The 16,809-nt window shown below is 44.1% G+C and overlaps 4 protein-coding genes and 5 non-coding genes across 23 annotated transcripts in view, besides 8 other annotated features; 7 read left to right on the top strand and 2 right to left on the bottom strand.

The window, feature by feature from the left end:
- ZWILCH (zwilch kinetochore protein) overlaps positions 1 to 767 on the bottom strand; it is a 44,805-nt gene extending 44,038 nt beyond the window's left edge. For all 6 annotated transcript variants that reach the window (XR_001751344.3, XR_007064470.1, NM_001287821.2 and 3 more), the window contains exon 1: positions 702 to 767. Coding sequence is in view for 1 of the 6 variants with exons in the window: in NM_017975.5 (NP_060445.3) it covers positions 702 to 754 (53 nt within the window). In the remaining 5 variants the exon portion in view is untranslated. The remainder of the gene's footprint in view (positions 1 to 701) is intronic.
- Positions 1,238 to 1,537: an enhancer, noted in NCBI's record as "active region_9616". NCBI's record gives its function as "activates an Ori minimal core promoter by ATAC-STARR-seq in GM12878 lymphoblastoid cells {active_cell/tissue: GM12878}" and the evidence as "EXISTENCE:reporter gene assay evidence [ECO:0000049][PMID:35858748]".
- Positions 1,238 to 8,078, top strand: RPL4 (ribosomal protein L4). The gene is made up of 10 exons (NM_000968.4): positions 1,238 to 1,305; positions 2,564 to 2,735; positions 2,929 to 3,035; positions 3,343 to 3,481; positions 4,181 to 4,305; positions 4,589 to 4,718; positions 4,988 to 5,144; positions 5,717 to 5,800; positions 5,917 to 6,037; positions 6,441 to 8,078. The coding sequence occupies exons 1-10, from the start codon at positions 1,303 to 1,305 to the stop codon at positions 6,684 to 6,686; spliced, it is 1,284 nt and encodes a 427-aa protein (NP_000959.2). The 5' UTR covers positions 1,238 to 1,302; the 3' UTR covers positions 6,687 to 8,078.
- Positions 2,369 to 2,868: an enhancer, noted in NCBI's record as "H3K27ac hESC enhancer chr15:66795563-66796062 (GRCh37/hg19 assembly coordinates)". NCBI's record gives its function as "activates a minimal SCP1, AML or CMV promoter by ChIP-STARR-seq in primed H9 embryonic stem cells {active_cell/tissue: H9 hESC(primed)}" and the evidence as "EXISTENCE:reporter gene assay evidence [ECO:0000049][PMID:30033119]".
- On the top strand, positions 2,779 to 2,848 carry SNORD18A (small nucleolar RNA, C/D box 18A). Its single transcript, NR_002441.1, has one exon. It is a non-coding gene; the product is annotated as a small nucleolar RNA, C/D box 18A (small nucleolar RNA).
- On the top strand, positions 3,183 to 3,282 carry SNORD16 (small nucleolar RNA, C/D box 16). Its single transcript, NR_002440.1, has one exon. It is a non-coding gene; the product is annotated as a small nucleolar RNA, C/D box 16 (small nucleolar RNA).
- On the top strand, positions 4,002 to 4,071 carry SNORD18B (small nucleolar RNA, C/D box 18B). The gene has a single exon (NR_002442.1). It is a non-coding gene; the product is annotated as a small nucleolar RNA, C/D box 18B (small nucleolar RNA).
- Positions 4,330 to 5,529: an enhancer, noted in NCBI's record as "CDK7 strongly-dependent group 2 enhancer chr15:66792902-66794101 (GRCh37/hg19 assembly coordinates)". NCBI's record gives its function as "activates an origin of replication core promoter dependent on BRD2, BRD4, P300/CBP, MED14 and CDK7 cofactors, with strong dependence on CDK7, by STARR-seq in HCT116 cells {active_cell/tissue: HCT116}" and the evidence as "EXISTENCE:reporter gene assay evidence [ECO:0000049][PMID:35650434]".
- On the top strand, positions 4,775 to 4,841 carry SNORD18C (small nucleolar RNA, C/D box 18C). The gene has a single exon (NR_002443.1). It is a non-coding gene; the product is annotated as a small nucleolar RNA, C/D box 18C (small nucleolar RNA).
- Positions 7,941 to 8,570: an enhancer, noted in NCBI's record as "active region_9615". NCBI's record gives its function as "activates an Ori minimal core promoter by ATAC-STARR-seq in GM12878 lymphoblastoid cells {active_cell/tissue: GM12878}" and the evidence as "EXISTENCE:reporter gene assay evidence [ECO:0000049][PMID:35858748]".
- Positions 7,941 to 8,944: a biological region, named in NCBI's record as "H3K27ac-H3K4me1 hESC enhancer GRCh37_chr15:66789487-66790222".
- Positions 8,209 to 8,944: an enhancer, noted in NCBI's record as "H3K27ac-H3K4me1 hESC enhancer chr15:66789487-66790222 (GRCh37/hg19 assembly coordinates)". NCBI's record gives its function as "activates a minimal SCP1, AML or CMV promoter by ChIP-STARR-seq in naive H9 embryonic stem cells {active_cell/tissue: H9 hESC(naive)}" and the evidence as "EXISTENCE:reporter gene assay evidence [ECO:0000049][PMID:30033119]".
- Positions 8,252 to 8,576: a silencer, noted in NCBI's record as "fragment chr15:66789855-66790179 (GRCh37/hg19 assembly coordinates)". NCBI's record gives its function as "represses an EF-1alpha promoter that drives an FKBP-Casp9 reporter gene in an ReSE screen in K562 erythroleukemia cells {active_cell/tissue: K562}" and the evidence as "EXISTENCE:reporter gene assay evidence [ECO:0000049][PMID:32094911]".
- Positions 8,331 to 16,345, top strand: SNAPC5 (small nuclear RNA activating complex polypeptide 5). 7 transcript variants are annotated; one of them, NR_138061.2, is made up of 4 exons: positions 8,331 to 8,451; positions 10,674 to 10,763; positions 11,541 to 11,816; positions 15,376 to 16,345. NR_138061.2 is itself a non-coding variant. In NM_006049.4 (4 exons), exons 1-3 carry the CDS (start codon positions 8,362 to 8,364, stop codon positions 11,655 to 11,657), a joined length of 297 nt encoding a protein of 98 aa, NP_006040.1. In that variant the 5' UTR covers positions 8,331 to 8,361; the 3' UTR covers positions 11,658 to 11,678; positions 15,376 to 16,345. The 7 variants fall into 7 exon arrangements, 4 of the variants coding, with proteins under 4 accessions (NP_006040.1, NP_001316544.1, NP_001316543.1 ...); XR_007064416.1 differs by having other exon boundaries at positions 11,541 to 14,091; positions 15,376 to 15,591; NM_006049.4 differs by having other exon boundaries at positions 11,541 to 11,678.
- Positions 8,945 to 9,680: an enhancer, noted in NCBI's record as "H3K27ac-H3K4me1 hESC enhancer chr15:66788751-66789486 (GRCh37/hg19 assembly coordinates)". NCBI's record gives its function as "activates a minimal SCP1, AML or CMV promoter by ChIP-STARR-seq in primed H9 embryonic stem cells {active_cell/tissue: H9 hESC(primed)}" and the evidence as "EXISTENCE:reporter gene assay evidence [ECO:0000049][PMID:30033119]".
- Positions 9,059 to 9,135, top strand: MIR4512 (microRNA 4512). Its single transcript, NR_039737.1, has one exon. It is a non-coding gene; the product is annotated as a microRNA 4512 (primary transcript).
- The window catches only part of MAP2K1 (mitogen-activated protein kinase kinase 1), a 104,633-nt gene continuing 102,372 nt past the window's right edge, over positions 14,549 to 16,809 (bottom strand). For all 4 annotated transcript variants that reach the window (NM_002755.4, XM_017022411.3, XM_011521783.4 and 1 more), the window contains 2 exons: positions 16,330 to 16,375; positions 14,549 to 15,591 (listed from right to left, as the gene is read on the bottom strand). In NM_002755.4, coding sequence (NP_002746.1) covers positions 15,478 to 15,591; positions 16,330 to 16,375 — 160 coding nt within the window. In that variant the 3' untranslated portion in view covers positions 14,549 to 15,477. The remainder of the gene's footprint in view (positions 15,592 to 16,329; positions 16,376 to 16,809) is intronic.

The raw sequence follows: 16,809 nt of genomic DNA, 5'->3' as shown, positions 1-16,809 counted from the left end.
TTTATCAGGAGGGCAAATTAATTGGCCCCATCTCAGACCTACTAAATCAGAAACCCTGGAAGTGGGGCCCAGCAATCTGTGTTTTGACAATCCCCCGGTGATTCTGATGCATGCTAAATTTGAGAACTATGGATTAGATTTTTACATAGGATGCAGAACTTGATGGAATCCCCTTGGTAGTAGTACTTCACCATAAGAATAAAATGAAGTCTTGGAGCACAGTGAAAAAATAAAGGTGTTTTCAAAATGCAACACACCAATCTGCTATCATTACAATTGTAGCTGATGTGGCAACTACCTCGAATAATAGAGATTAACAGACTAACACCACATTTCATTCTTAGGAGTCAACAAGGCTTTAAACAGGGGAAGGATGCCAACACCTAGTTTTCCGTATCCCGGGTGGTGCCTCTACTTATGGCAAGTGTGTCCATCAGCAGAAAGAATAAATCGCCTCTTGGAACACTTGCCACCTTCCATCTCGTTTGATGACGTACACGTTTTCTCCTGAGACAAGCAAGCTCCCACACGGTCAACCCCACACCGGAGCCGAGAACCGGCCTCTCCCCAACTCCTGGACCCCAGGAAAGCTGGCAAAGCGCTGATCCCCAGAGTGGCAAGAGGCTTAGGGCGGGGATCCAGACACCCAGGGAAAGAAGTGCTGTCCCAGGACCCCAGCCAAAAGAAGAGACTAGACTCACTGAAGGAGACGAGAATAAAAGTCCTCTGCTGCGCAGTTCAGCCGCTCCCACATCCCGCCCCAATGTGAGAGCGGTACCGGAACCGCCAAACTGAACTGCGCGCCGGACCGGCGACGTCAGGGGTCATGGCCCCGCCCCGCCGGGACTATTTTGACCACCCCCTACAATAAGTCCTGTTTGTCCGCAAAGTTAAACTTTCGTTTCAAGCCACCCAGAGCTATTTACTATGTCAATAGTCTTCAACTTCCGTCTGCAATAATTAAAATAAGAGCAGTGGTTGGGGAGAAGATACCTCGACTCGCGAGAGTTGGCCTCGCCCCCTATGGATTATTCCGCAAAAAGGAGTCCCTATTTTCTAAGAATTATTATTACGTTTGGAAGAAAATAGATACCGTAATTTCCCACAAATAAAGAAATAACACTCTCGTTTTTACTTTTGTAGTGTGGTAGAGAGATATTTTTTGTATCCGTGTTGGTTCTTAGGCGGGGCAAGGTGGGGCGGTCAAGGGGAAGGTGACATATACAGCGGGAGTGGTAAGCACTTCCTTTTCCTGTGGCAGCAGCCGGGCTGAGAGGAGCGTGGCTGTCTCCTCTCTCCGCCATGGTGAGTGGAAGTTCTCTTGGCTGGCCTTACCCCGTATCTCGGGGCCAGTAAGGAAGGATTTGGGGTTCGGAGCATAGAATCTGTAGGAGATAGAGCGAGGAGAGGGAGATGAGGACCAAAGGCGTCTTTTTCTGGTGTGGAACTGGGATGTGCGGCGATACGGCAGCCATCTTAGAGGCAACGTGGGGTTCCCAGCACAGGACGCGCCGGGAAGCAGTAGTGGAAAGCACTGGGTCGTTCTCAGGAGCAGTGGGACCTTCTGTTAGAATATTTGCTTATTTAGCCTTTTTCTGGATGCTTGTCTCTGCCTAGCTTGGGAATCATTTCTATTAAAAGCTTTCTGGTTCTCTTCGCCTAAAAATTGTTCGGTGTTATCAAAATCTTTGAATCCTTAGCCAACTCGTAATAAGACCAGTGTTATATGTGTACTGCTTTTCCACAAATAGTGTTCGTATATACTATGTAGTGTTGTGTGCCGGGGGAGTTAAGCGAACAAAACAGACACTGTCCTGACTGGGATGGTAGTTGCGTTGGACTAAATACGTAGTAATATTCTATGGTAGTAAGAGATGAAAACATAGGGAATAGGAGTGGTTTGGCTTTAAACAGTGATCAGAGAAAGCTTAAAGTGGCCTGAAGGATGTGAGAAAGCTGGCAAAGAGGAGCTTTAGAGTGAACACTTGGAAAGTCTGAGGCAAGTGCTGGGTGGTCCTGAGACCGAAAAATATCTGGAAGAGTGTATGGGAGTTGAGATCAGAAGTAGAGAAGATGGTGTAGGTCAGCCTCAGGATTTTCAGTTTACTCACAGTTGGGAAGACTTGGAGGTTTAAACAAAAAGTAATATCACCAGTCTTTCCACTGGTGAGCTTTGGAAACACGTGTTTAGTAGAGGGTGAGGGTGAGTGGGACAGGGATGGAAGTTGGGATGAGTAGAGCCCGGGTAGACAGGATTTGCTGATTAATTGGCATTAAACAGCATCTCCAAACCTTACAATATGGTTTTGATTTAGCTATTGTGCTTTATAAGGCTTGCTTTGAAAGTTTTATGATAAACAATTCTTTTTGAAAATAAAATTGTGCAGTAGAGGTTGAGATTCTAAGGGTTCTAGTCATTTACTGCTATTTTGGTTTAAGGGTTGTTTGCCTCACCATACCAGTCTCTTCTGCAATTGAGTATTTAATGGTATTGTTGGCGTATGAGAAGAGTTTGCTTCAAACATTACTTGTCAATAAAAATAATCCTTGTCTTTTTCTTTAGGCGTGTGCTCGCCCACTGATATCGGTGTACTCCGAAAAGGGGGAGTCATCTGGCAAAAATGTCACTTTGCCTGCTGTATTCAAGGCTCCTATTCGACCAGATATTGTGAACTTTGTTCACACCAACTTGCGCAAAAACAACAGACAGCCCTATGCTGTCAGTGAATTAGCAGGTATGGATTTATATCTTCTGCAGATATTTTAGGGACTGCTTTACAGTAGTGATGAAATTCCACTTCATTGGTCCGTGTTTCTGAACCACATGATTTTCTCGGATGTTCTGATGCTGTTTGCTACCATGCATAATAGTCATGGGTTGGTATGTATGATGAAGCAGCTACAACTTTTATCTCTTCTCAATTTTAGGTCATCAGACTAGTGCTGAGTCTTGGGGTACTGGCAGAGCTGTGGCTCGAATTCCCAGAGTTCGAGGTGGTGGGACTCACCGCTCTGGCCAGGGTGCTTTTGGAAACGTATCCTTTGTTTCACTACCTAAGACTGGTCATCTCTGATGGAATTTAGCGGCCTGGGTCTGGTTTATTGATGATAATACGGTGTAAAAATATTACTTTTTTTTGTCTTGAAGAGAAGGGGCTTCATTTATATGGGGTTATTTTGCTTGCAATGATGTCGTAATTTGCGTCTTACTCTGTTCTCAGCGACAGTTGCCTGCTGTCAGTAAGCTGGTACAGAAGGTTGACGAAAATTCTTACTGAGCAAGAAATAACCTTGTTGTAATTACTAAAATTTGAGAAATGTGATTCTTGACTGGAAAAATAGATGTGTCGTGGAGGCCGAATGTTTGCACCAACCAAAACCTGGCGCCGTTGGCATCGTAGAGTGAACACAACCCAAAAACGATACGCCATCTGTTCTGCCCTGGCTGCCTCAGCCCTACCAGCACTGGTCATGTCTAAAGGTTTGTAATACTTTATATAAGAGAGTTTGATAGAAGAAATAAGACACCTACTATTTGATCATTAGGGTGATTTTTATTCACAGTAACCCATTTCAAGATGGCTAGAAGAGAATAATTTGAATGTTTTTAGCATAAAATATTTTAGTTCATGGATATTCCAGTTACACTGATTTGATCTTGACAAATGAGTGCATTCAGTTATCAAATGTACTCCAGAAATACATGTTACATACCGGTTTAAAAATTTTTTAATCAAAAATATTTCGTATCAGTGATACAAAATGCCCCACTTTTTCTTTCACGTGAACCTTTGTTAAAATTGCACATTCTTTTCATTCTGAAGTGTCTGATTAAATTTTAATCCTTTACTAAATACTAGGTCTGACTACTTAAATCTGACAAATCAATCAGGGAATACTAGCGTAACTGGGGAACTATTCAAGTAGTAGTTTAGTATATCCTTAGAAAACTTCCAACTTAAACTTGCCTGTTGCGTACCCATCGCATTTTTATTTAACTGTCAAAATGATGAGATTCCACTTAATTGGTCCGTGTTTCTGAAACACATGATATTTGTGGAAATTCTGACTTGGCAAACGGAATACCATTTTGCTTTTATTGGTTGTATAAAATGTTTGATTTTTTTTTTTTCTCCAAAAGTTTCAGGATAACCAAGTAAGTGTCATTGGTTTTTGTTAGGTCATCGTATTGAGGAAGTTCCTGAACTTCCTTTGGTAGTTGAAGATAAAGTTGAAGGCTACAAGAAGACCAAGGAAGCTGTTTTGCTCCTTAAGAAACTTAAAGCCTGGAATGATATCAAAAAGGTCCGTTCAATGAGCACATTTACAGTTTGGTACTCCTTGTTCACAGTTTGTCACTTTGAATTTCAGAAGATAAGGGCAGTATAGCTAATCCTTAATGTGTGAGAGAACAAGAACCTCAGAGCCCGATTACTTGGGTTTGAATCCTAACTGCTGTTTATGGCTCTGTGTAACCTTGGCAAGTTATTGTGCCCAGTTTAATCATCTGTAAAAAGGAATTAAAACTCTGAAGATCTATTGCAGAGATTCTATCTTAATCAGAATACTAAAACTGCTCACTTTGTAGGTCTATGCCTCTCAGCGAATGAGAGCTGGCAAAGGCAAAATGAGAAACCGTCGCCGTATCCAGCGCAGGGGCCCGTGCATCATCTATAATGAGGATAATGGTATCATCAAGGCCTTCAGAAACATCCCTGGTAATTAAACTGCTTACATATATTGACTAGGTATACTCTGCAAGTCTACTCAGCTTTTGTTATGATGAGATTCCACTTAAGGTCCGTGTTTCTGAAACAAATGATTTTGTGGAAGTTCTGATTTATGGCTGAAAGAGTTGCACCATTGATGGTTGAAACTTCATAATTAATAAGTTCTCAGGTACCTTTTATAGCTCTTAAGCCATAAAGATGATTTGTGTTTCTTTTGTTGGAATACAGGCTCCCTAATTTTTCTTTCCCTTTAAAAGGAATTACTCTGCTTAATGTAAGCAAGCTGAACATTTTGAAGCTTGCTCCTGGTGGGCATGTGGGACGTTTCTGCATTTGGACTGAAAGTGCTTTCCGGAAGTTAGATGAATTGTACGGCACTTGGCGTAAAGCCGCTTCCCTCAAGAGTAACTACAAGTAAGTATCTTTCATATACTAAGCACAGATGTTTATATTGTGGATATTAACATTCAGAATTGGCTTACATGTTTTCTAAATTTATTCCCATTTCCCCTTATGTGCAGCAACAGTATGCCAAAATGAGACTCACCTGGTCTATATTTTTGGTTTTTTGTTTTGTTTTTGAGACAGAGTTGTTCTGTCTCACCCACGCTGGAGTGTAGTGGTGTGATCGTGGCTTACTGCAGCCTCCGCCTCCCGGGTTCAAGCAGTTCTCCTGTCTCAGCCTCCCAAGTACCTGGGACTACAGGCTTGTGCCACCACACCCGGCTAATTGTAGAGTTGGGGTTTTACCATGTTGGCCAGGCTGGTCTGGAACTCCTGACCTTAGGTGATCCACCCGCCTCGGCCTCCCCAAGTGCTGGGATTATAGGGGTGAGCCACCACACCCGGCCTGGTCCATGTTTATGAGAAGTGATAGTGTAGTAGATATTTTGGAGAGCATAGTGGCTAAAAATAAAGCTTCAGTTGAGCTTCCTGTTCTTTGGTTGATTACTTTTACATGTACATGTCAATCTTTTCCCTTTCAGTCTTCCCATGCACAAGATGATTAATACAGATCTTAGCAGAATCTTGAAAAGCCCAGAGATCCAAAGAGCCCTTCGAGCACCACGGTAAAGTGATACTTAGAGTGTAATTCTCGCCCCAACCCTATACTATTGGTTGTTTCAAAAATTTGTATGTGTATAATGTTAAGTAAAATGTTGATACAGTATCTGCTTTTTTATAGCAAGAAGATCCATCGCAGAGTCCTAAAGAAGAACCCACTGAAAAACTTGAGAATCATGTTGAAGCTAAACCCATATGCAAAGACCATGCGCCGGAACACCATTCTTCGCCAGGCCAGGAATGTGAGTGGAGTTTTTGTTTGTTTGTTTGTTTTTGAGTCGGAATCTCGCTCTGTCACCCAGGCTGGAGTGCAATGGCGTGATCTCAGCTCACTGCAACCTCCACCTACCAAGTTCAAGCAGTTCTTCTGTCTCAGCCTCCCAAGTAGCTGGCACTACAGGCGCACGCCACCATGTCCGGCTAATTTTTGTATTTTCAGTAGAGACGGGGTGTCACTATATTGTTAGGCTGGTCTCAAACTCCTGACCTCAGGTGATTCACCTGCCTCGGCCTCCCAAAGTGCTGGGATTACAGGCGTGAGCCACCGTGCCCGGCTGGTTTGTTTTGTTTTTGTTTTTCTCTTCCTGATACATTAAGTTCTTACAGGGATTTGATTCTTACTGTTTTCTGCCTAATTTGTTGCAGCACAAGCTCCGGGTGGATAAGGCAGCTGCTGCAGCAGCGGCACTACAAGCCAAATCAGATGAGAAGGCGGCGGTTGCAGGCAAGAAGCCTGTGGTAGGTAAGAAAGGAAAGAAGGCTGCTGTTGGTGTTAAGAAGCAGAAGAAGCCTCTGGTGGGAAAAAAGGCAGCAGCTACCAAGAAACCAGCCCCTGAAAAGAAGCCTGCAGAGAAGAAACCTACTACAGAGGAGAAGAAGCCTGCTGCATAAACTCTTAAATTTGATTATTCCATAAAGGTCAAATCATTTTGGACAGCTTCTTTTGAATAAAGACCTGATTATACAGGCAGTGAGAAACATGACTTGGTGTGCTCTGTAAAGCTTGGTTAGAATTTTTTTAAAGTGACATTTTGTTGGCCATAATTTAGACTGTTACATTTTATATAGTGTGGTATAAAATGGGGCATGGATTTATACTAAGTCCATGGAGTTCAGTGGAAGGGGAATGATTTAAAAAAAGTTGTGGTTTTCTAAATAATGTGGCTTGAAAAATAGGTGTAACAGGACTTGGTCAGAAACGCAGAGGCTGTTCAAGTTTAGCTCCCCACCAGATGGAAAATAGGTTAAATTCTGTAAAGATTTAACTTTAACCACAAGAGGGCACAACTGGAGAGCACAATTTTTTTGGTACTGCAGTAAAATTGATTACCTCTTGAGAAGTGTTCTTTTTAACCAGCTATAACAATAGAGTTGAGTATTTTCACCCATGGTTTGAAAAAGTGCCAGAAGGCCACACTGGCCCACATCTGTAATCCCAACACTTTGGGACCCTAAGGTGGGCAGAGCACTTGAGCCAATGAGTTCAAGACCAGCCTGGTCAACATGATGAAATCTCGTCTCTACTGAAAATATAAAAAATAGCCAGTCATGGTGCATGCCTGTAACCCCAGCTACTTGGAGGCTGAGGCAAGAGAATCACTTGAACCTGGGAGGTGGAGGTTGCAATGAGCCAAGATTGTACCATTGCCCTCCAGCCTGGGCGTCAGAGCAAGACTCTCTGAAAAGTACCAGAAGCATTTTTCAGGACTGCCTGTGTGTCTTGGTGATTATGTTAACCAACTGTGTTCAAAAGAAGTACCCATGAAATGCCTCCAGATATAAGGGTGTTTTTTTTTACCCATAAAGCTAAACTGCAAATATTACCCTAGAATTAACCTCTTGTCCTGTGTCAAAAGTCTTGTTTTGCATCTGGATTGTTAAACTGTCAGCTTCTCTCTGACAGTCTCGAACTGTCAAGACAGTCTCAGTTCACAGCCAAGGTGATCTGTTAACCCTCCCCATTTCCAGGGCCAAATCTCAGTTCTTAAGCACGTCGTTTCTTAGCACGGCTTTATTTTCATGCTCTTTATTTCTCTATTTTGTGCAGCCTTACCCCTTTAAAGTCCACTGTGAGTCCTACCCTGCAGGGCCTCTTAACACAGTAGAGTTCATGTGCTACTGATTTGGTGCCTGCCTTCAAACACATGTGCAAGTTTTGTGGGGTTAAAGATAGCCACTTGGTGGCACACCACATTGGAAGTGCTGTTCACCCGGTCATTTGAAACGGTGTTTGACCACTTGGTGCGCAAATGGCCTATCGGATTAAAGGATAGCCAAACCCAAGATTTCTTCAGGTTCTTTACAGCTCCATGGATCTAATTTCAAAATCCTGATCATTACTCATGAATCAAGGTGTTTTGACACAGGCTGTACCCCTTCCTGCAGCTCGTCCCCCGCGGAGTGGCCAGGCTACGGCGGGCGCCGGAAGGGGGCGCACTCCTCGCCTTTCCTCAATGTGTCGGGCAGCCCCGCCTCCCCGCTCGGTTTCCGGGAGTCGGCGGCGATGGCGTCATCACCGAGTGCCGGGCCGACAGCAGCCCGGAGGTTGGCTATGTGACCAGGCAACATGCTGAGCCGGCTTCAGGAACTGCGCAAGGAGGAGGAGACGCTGCTGCGGTTGAAGGCAGCCCTGCACGACCAGCTGAACCGCCTCAAGGTGACCCCGCGGCCCTCTCCTGCCCCTCCTCCATTCCTCCCGAGCGACCATTTCCCCCCAACCTGGGCCTCTGTGGTGACCACCTGCTGCGGCCAGTTCTCCGCTACTCACTAGCTGTGGTGGCGCCAATTTAGAGGTTTACAAACAAACAGGTATCTGAATCACCTGGGGAGTTTGCTGTGCGCTTCTTAGGCCCTATCTTTCAGAATCGTGACCTCGCAAGTCTAGGGTGAGGCTCAGGGATCTGTGTTTGGCAAGTGCAGTCCTACCTGCTGCTTCCTGTAAATGTTCATCGCCCTCAGACAGCACGCTGAGGAAGTGCTCCCTCCCGAAGGCTCGCCTAGACCCCTCTGGCCACCGACCCCTTCCTCCTGAGCTGCTGTTTTCTAGTTTGTTTTGGCGCTTGAAATGCTCTAGTTTTGCCAAGCCAGAAGGAACTCCTAGATCCTCCCATGCTACCAAGGAAGAAACTGAGGCCCTGGGAGAAGAGACTTGTCCTAACGTCTGGAGCTTCCGGTGGCTCTTGTTACTGACGCCATGGCCTTGAGGAGGAGTCGGGATTTAGGCCCACGTGGGCCACTTCCCAAACCTGTGCTTAATGCAGCCCCTCAGCCCGGGCAATATAGTGAGACCTCGTCTCTACAAAAAATTGAGACAGGGCCTCACTGTATCGCCCAGGCTGGAGTGCAGTGACATGATCTCGGCTCACTGCAACCTCCGCCTTCTGGGTTCAAGCGATTCTCGTGCTTCACCTTCCCAAGTAGCTGGGATTACAGGTGTGCACCACCACGCCCGGCTAATTTTTGTATTTTTAGTAGAGACGGGGTTTCACCATGTTGCCCAGGCTGGTTTCGAACTCCTGAGCTCAAGCGATCAGCCCGCCTCGGCCTTCCAAAGTGCTGAGATTACAGGCGTGAGCCACTGCGGCCGGCCTTACAAAAAAAAATTAAAATTAGCTGAGCGTGGTGGTGCGTGCCTGTAGTCCAGCTACTTGGGAAACTGAGGTGGGAGGATGGCCAAAGTCCAGGTGGTCAAAGCTGTAGAGAGCCCAGATTGTGCCACTGCACTCCAGCATGCAACTATATGGGGAGACCCTGCCTTAAAAAAAAAAAAAAAAGTCCCAGGGAGGTTATTATGCTAATCCCTGCTCAGCATTCTTTTCAGAATCTTTTTTTTGAGACAGAGTTTCGCTCTTGTTGCTCAGCCTAGAGTGCGGTGGCGCAATCTTGGCTCACTGCAACCTCCGCCTCCCGGGTTCAAGGGATTCTCCTGTCTCAGCCTCCCAAGTAGCTGGGATTACAGGCATGTGCCACCACGCCGGGCTAATTTTTTGTATTTAGTAGAGACGGGGTTTCACCATGTTGGCCAAGGTGTTCTCGAACTCCTGACCTCAGGTGATCCACCTGCCTCTTCCTCCCTAAGTGCTGGGATTACAGGCGTGAGCCACTGGGCTCGGCCCTTTTTCAGAAACTTTAAGTCCATATGAGGTGAGGATTACCAAAGCCCTTTGTAAAAGGAAAAGTATTGTACACCTGTGACATATCAAAATCATAAGCATTTTTCCTTAGGGAAGTTATACTTTTAGTAGAGACGGGGTTTCACAGTGTTAGCCAGGATGTTCTCGATCTCCTGACCTCATGATCCGCCCGCCTCAGCCTCCCAAAGTGCTGGGATTACAGGCGTGAGCCACCGCGCCCGGCCTCCTTAGGGAAGTCATAATGCCCTCCACTTATTTGTGTTTCTATATTGCCACGGTACCCTTACAAGTACTTAATGAGTGTATTGATGACCACCTCCAAAGCCCAGATTTCCTTATGCTTCAGCAAACACCTCTGTTTTCTATTCTTCTTTCCTTCACGTTCTCATTACTGAGTAACAGCCTCAGGTCCAGGGAATCTCTCTCTCTGAGGAATCAGATGACACCTGGCTGTTTTAATGACACACTTGTACTTTGAGTTGCTAGGTCTGTAGAAGTGGAAGCCATGACTCAGCCAGAACACCTGTTCAGCCCAGGGGAGAAGGGCTAGAGTCTTTCTTTACTCATCTCCTTAAAAGAGAGAAAACCTAAGAGCCTACCCCCTCAACTTTCCCTCTAGAGCAACACAGAGATAGTTTTCATTCCCTCTCTTGATGCAAATGTTTCATAGTGTGCCCAGCAGTTTACCCACATCAGTAGTCCAGTGAAATAGTAAGGAAAAGTGTCCTCAACTCTTCTTTTCTAGGTTGAAGAATTAGCCCTCCAATCAATGATCAGTTCTAGAAGAGGGGATGAGATGCTGTCTTCTCACACTGTACCTGAACAGTCACATGATGTAAGCTTAATCAAGTGCAGGCCTAGGAGAGAATGCAAAGTCTGCTCTGCTCCCATGCTGCTTGGGTGGTGAAGAACTGTTGTAAATCACATTACCTAGCCCAAAGGGCTCTGAGAAGTGCTGATAACAGTTTTCTGGTTTAATAAGGTGGCAACTCTCCATTAACCACCTTCCTACCAGCTAGTTATACACTAATTAATTAAGTAGTTACTAATGTTTTACCTCCATCCTCCTCGTCATCCATTCTGTCTAGTTACTCAGATGAACCCGGGGGAGAGTGGAGATTTTTGTAGGACGATGTCAAAACTCTTGATTTTTTGTGAATAAGTAACCTTGAGATTCAAGAGTGTGGCTTCAAGTACAAGGCACAGTGCTAAAAGATGAGCTCCAGTTCTCATCATACTCATCTCTTACCAAATGCCCTCAAGTAAGTCAGCAAAATCTAAGTACACAATATTTGAGCAGTTCTCCCAGATTTTGTGTGTTAAGACATTTAAAACCATGATACAGCAGCACATGTAAGTTGGCACAAATCTTATGGAGCTTTGTGTAATAATGTTTGTAAATGAGGTAACATTCTACTGAATCTGGGGCATTTACTGTTGCCCCATTTTGGTAATGGAGGTGGGGGTATAAAAGGAAAGTGGCCATACCTCTTAGTCATAAGTACTGGGGATAGATATGCAATTGAGATCTGATTTTAAGTCATTTTTAAGAATTTGCTGTTTTGAGGCCAGCATCTTTCCTGCTAATCTGTGATGCCCTTGGCCAATACAGATGTTGGTGCATGTAGACAATGAAGCATCAATCAACCAAACAACCCTGGAGCTGAGCACAAAGAGTCATGTGACGGAAGAGGAGGAGGAGGAAGAGGAAGAAGAATCAGATTCCTAAAGGAGGGGGAAAGCCAGGCTGGTCAGTTATACAAATTGCATTTCTAAGGCTCAGGCTACTTCTCCTCAAGGAAATCATCTTGCCCTGGGCCCTGTGATCTGCTTGAAAGGAAAGCAAGAACTATAAGGAGGATGTGTAGTTGCAAAAATGGCTCCATCGGTAACTCAAGCTTCAGAATGTTATGACATACAGAAAATCAAAGATGCTGTGTCTTAGCATTGAGTAATATGGGTGGTGCTGTCTGTAATCTGGTCAGATTCAGTTAACTGTTCAGAACAAAATTTCCTCTGAAATACTGTTGAGAAAGTCTGTCATTTGCAAAAAGAGCAGAGTTTAAATACAAGCCAGTCTTTCCAGTCAACAATGCCTCTTTGAAGAAAACCAATTAAAGACTGTTTGCATGCCGCTGAACCCTTGTGAGCAGTTAGGACACAGTCTAGGACAGAAAGATGACAAGGGGAAGGACTGAGGGCCGTCTGAGAGCACAAGCTGTTTCTACCTCTCAGAGGCATTGAAATATTGCATGCTATAAACTGCTTTGTGTATCTGTTACCACCTCTCACTTGAGACATCACTCACTGGTAAAATGTTTTATAAATAAATTTATAAGTAGCCATCATGGAGCCTGCTGGTTTCTAGATAGCGACAGAGAGAAGCAGCAGTTCCTTCTCTGAGGAAAAGATACAACAGGATGGTTTGAAATCCATTTCTGGTCCTTAAGAGAGATGTGCCATGCTTGGAAGACTGGATTTTTTGTTTTGTTTTTTGTTTTGTTTTGTTTGAGACGGAGTTTCACTCTTATTGCCCAGGCTGGAGTGCAATGGCGCGATTTTGGCTCACTGCAACCTCCCCTTCTCGGGTTCAAGTGATTCTTCTGCCTCAGCCTCCAGAGTAGCTAGGATTACAGGCATGCACCACCACACCCGGCTAATTTTGTATTTTTAGTAAAGATGGGATTTTTCCATGTTGGTCAGGCTGCTCTCGAACTCCCAACCTCAGGTTTTCCTCCCGCCTCGACCTCCCAAAGTGCTGGGATTACACACGTGAGCCACTACACCAGGCCGGAAGACTGGATTTTTGTTAACAGATGACAGTTACAGAATAAGAGTTTTTACTTAGTATCTGAAGTTGAGGTTCATTTCTGCATACTGTCCCTTTTCCACTGACTACCATGAAATAAGTAGTTGCTTAATTTTATAAAATTAATTTCCCCTGCCCAAGCAACAGTAAAAGCCAAACAAAACACAAAGAATCATGTCAAGCAGAACTTATGTAACAGTTCCCAAAGAAAACAAAGAATACTTTTTTTGTTAATCCACATTTCATTGAAGTTATTTTGAGCTGCTTTTAGAGGAAACAGCCAGAAGTTTAAATGAGCATGTTCCTTAGAACACACAATGGGAAGACAGTTTGGGAACAAAAAGCATCAAGGTACATAAATTTTGGGGGTCTAATTTAAAATATGAGCATGAGTTTTAAAAGCTGGAAAACTTGACTATGAATTCCAGCTCTACCACAAACTGGTCACTTGTCTTCTCACCTCTTTGCAACTCACGTTCCCATCTGTAAGGTGAAGATACTCACATCTGCTCTAGCAGTTTCACAGGTTGCTATGAGGTGCTAATGAGATCATTTAAAAATCCAACTATCATTGGTATCTCAGTAAGAATCTGGCATTGGGAGCTCAAAACACTGCAAGATTCATGCGGGGATCATAATTCTTGGCTAAAAATTAAAAAAAAAAAATCTAAACACCCCTCAAAAGACACTGAGCATGAAAGTGGTCAGATCTAGGTTTTAGATACCAGGTTATAACATTTCTTCTAAGGATGTAGTATTCTCATTTTAATGAAACATTCTCAGTAGTGGTGGTATCCTGTCATTTGTAAAAGACACACAGTGTAAATGTTAAAACCCAGCCTAAATGTTTATATGTTGAAAATGTATAAGTTAAACTGTTGACTTAGAAAAGCTATACTTCACAGTGAGAGAAAAAAAAGTTGACTAGCTTAGGCAGCAGTATATACAACACTGATCATTTTTTTAAAATCCTGGCAATATCCCAAGCTCTGGTACCTCTAGATTGGACTACCTACTTAGAAGATTATTTACCCAAGTTTTGTTTTTAATCTAAAAAGGAATGGGCCTTTTATTTATAAATATATATGTTGGCTTTAGTTTCTGTAACCTGCCCTTTCAAAGAAAATAATGAGCGGAGAGGTATTGACCAGCAGCCTCAAATGTACCTAAAAGAAGTTCCCAATGGCTTTGTGACATCACTGCCACCTCACAGGCATGACAAAGCCAGCGCCAGGCACATTCCTCCTTTCCAGGAAGGTGTGGTTAAGTGTAAGTGGTGAAAGAAGGGAAACCATTGCTTAATGTCGCAAAGGAGACAGACTGTCCTATGTTGTGCAGAAAGCTCCCACACCAGGTAGGCAAGCTGGCCACCAGCAAGGCCCTCCTATGAGCATGACAGCCTAAAAGTGCAGGCAGGCCCTCAGCTCAACTATTGGTATATGGAAAATGAGAAATGTTCTGTGAGATAAGAAATGTTTTGTCATTTTTCTCAGATTTGCTCCCAGTCCCCCATCAGCTGCTTTTCCCTTGTATAAAAGAGATCAAAGGAATATACAGGATCTATTCACAGGTCCCACAAGGAAGGTGGTTGGAAGAGTCACAGATAAGGGTGTTGGGTGAGAAGAGCTGGACTGAGTCCAGAGATTGAAATTACAGGAAGCCCCATTAGTCCAAAGCACTGAACTCGGTGTCCTGTTTCTGCCTTCCAGCCTCCTCCTCATCTTCACCTTTCCCCCTCACCAGTGTTGCTTGGCTAAACCAGTATTTCTTGTGTACTAAAGAAACTGAAAAGCTTACCACAAAAGCAAAAGTAGCTTTCATCCTTTTTTTTTTATTTCATAGTATATTTATTAGAATAAGAGATTAGATTTGTTAAACATCTAGGTTAAAATGGTTAAAAGGATTTTCATACAATTTTAGGCACTATACACGTTGTTTACAACAGCATTGGTACTTGGATATGGGGAAAGATAAATCCGACATTTTAATATCTTGATCAATTTGTGACATTCAAAATAATTCCATTTAAGAAACATTAATCAAAACTTAAAGAGACATACCACTAAGTATCCCACACAGTATACTGAAAATAAATATAGAAATACAACCAGAAGTCTACAGATCACCACAGTAGACAGACTGGTGAAGCCCCAGCTATCATGGCAGTGAAGGGCTCTGGCTAGATTTGGATGTCAACTGCTGAGTTCTACATGAAAAGCAAATAATAATAATAAAATAACATGATGTACACTCTCTGATGCTCATTTTCATAGCAGCAAAGCATGCTTCACATGCACTGCCTGTGAAGGATCTCACAAGGCTCCCTCCTAGAGAGAAAGTATGCCCAGCAAGAATAAAGTACCACCAAATGTCAAAGAATCCCGAAAATACAGGCAGACAGCCAGTCATGGAGCAGGAACAGCAGTGCAATTGTAAGAATGACTACCCACATTCACCAAAATTTCACTGTAATTCAGCCTGGCACAGGTTTTGATCATCAGCATACACACAAATAGCCCCAAGCACAAAGCCAATCCACTTAGGGGAACAATAATAGTAATAAGAATAAAGACAGTAATATTAAAAATGACAAGAGTAGAATCTTGGCACATGCTGTGTTCTTCATCCTTTGTCACAGGTGAAATGCACATCTGAACAGAGACAGGCATGGGAAGGAGGCCCAAAAGCGACATGGCAAACCACCGGGCAGGGGACTCGCTCTTTGTTGCTTCCCAAACACTTAGACGCCAGCAGCATGGGTTGGTGTGCTGGGCTGGTTAAGGCCGATGGTGGAGCAGAGCCAACCTGCAAAATCCACTTCCTCAGCATCAGATCTCTTGATAAAAGCATGAACCTGCATGTAAGGAAACGAGAGGACGTGGTGTTAAAAAGAAACAAAAAAACAAAACCCACCAGGAAGGAAAATCCAAGAGTTTCAGGTCTAGAGCTTGTGCTGCACTTGGAAAGAGCACCTGGCACCTGCCCCTGAGCAACAGTGGGGCCAGCTGCAGGCCCAAAGACCTGCTCCACCAGTCACAGCAGCTGTGAGGCCTTGGGCAAGTCACCTCTTGGAGCCTACTCGTGCAGTATGGAGACAGTAACTCTGCCTTAAATGCCTCACAGGCTTGTTAGAAGGGACAAAGAAAATGATGGACTTAGTGCATATTATATACTATATACACCGTCTATGGCTGTCCAGATATTTACAGTATTACTTAGCTATTTCCACTGCCACCAAACGAGACAGCAGGCGGAGAGTGACTCTGGAAGGAGGCTGAATGTAAGATGAGGCAGTCAGTATTAGGGAAAGGCCGCATCCCCATGAAGGGGGTGGGCTGGCCTTTTCTTTCCCATGGCCCCCTCAGGCATTTCCTCTGGCATATGCTTACTCAGGCTGCGGGGGTCACCCCAGCTTTCCCTTAAACTGATGGGAGAGCAAAGGAGACTGGTGTTTGGTATTCTGCAGCCCCAGGCTCAGCTGGACCACAGTGGGCAGGGAATGAATGGGCTCTGGAAGTACTGCACAGATGACTGACAGAGAAGAACAAATGAATAAACAGGTACTGTAAGAATCCGGAATAAATAGACTCACCATGAGTTGCTTCAAATCTGCTCTCTCTGCGGGGTTTTTTATTAAGCTTAAAGGAAGAAAGACAAGGTAAGAGCTGTTGCCTGGCACTGGTTCTAGCTCAAATAACATGTTTGCATGCCTGTCTTCTCTGCACACTAGAGGCCGAGGATTGCCTGGGCTTGATTCATCCTCCTGTTCTAAGCACAGTATCATGCCCACAGTAAGTTAATACATTCTTGCTGAGTTAAACTAAGGTCAAAAAGCAACGTGCCAATCCCTGGAGAGCAAGTACCAAAAGGAGCAGCTACTACATCCATGATGTAGTTAGACATGCCACATAAGTCTTGGCACTCTAAAAAAGGGCTTATGGCAGCAGCCAAGAATCATCAGACGGGAGGGTAAAGGGCAAAACTCTGCCTGCAGAAGCAATGCTGGTGCTTCCAGAAATGGGGTGGGGAGCCTGACAAATCCAGAGTATACGCTTCCAGAGAACAAGGAGCC

This window comes from Homo sapiens, chromosome 15, assembly GCF_000001405.40.
Source record: "Homo sapiens chromosome 15, GRCh38.p14 Primary Assembly".
Classification (NCBI taxonomy): domain Eukaryota; kingdom Metazoa; phylum Chordata; class Mammalia; order Primates; family Hominidae; genus Homo; species Homo sapiens.
The sequence above is the reverse complement of the archived record's forward strand: the minus strand, read 5'-3'. Positions and strand labels throughout refer to the sequence as shown.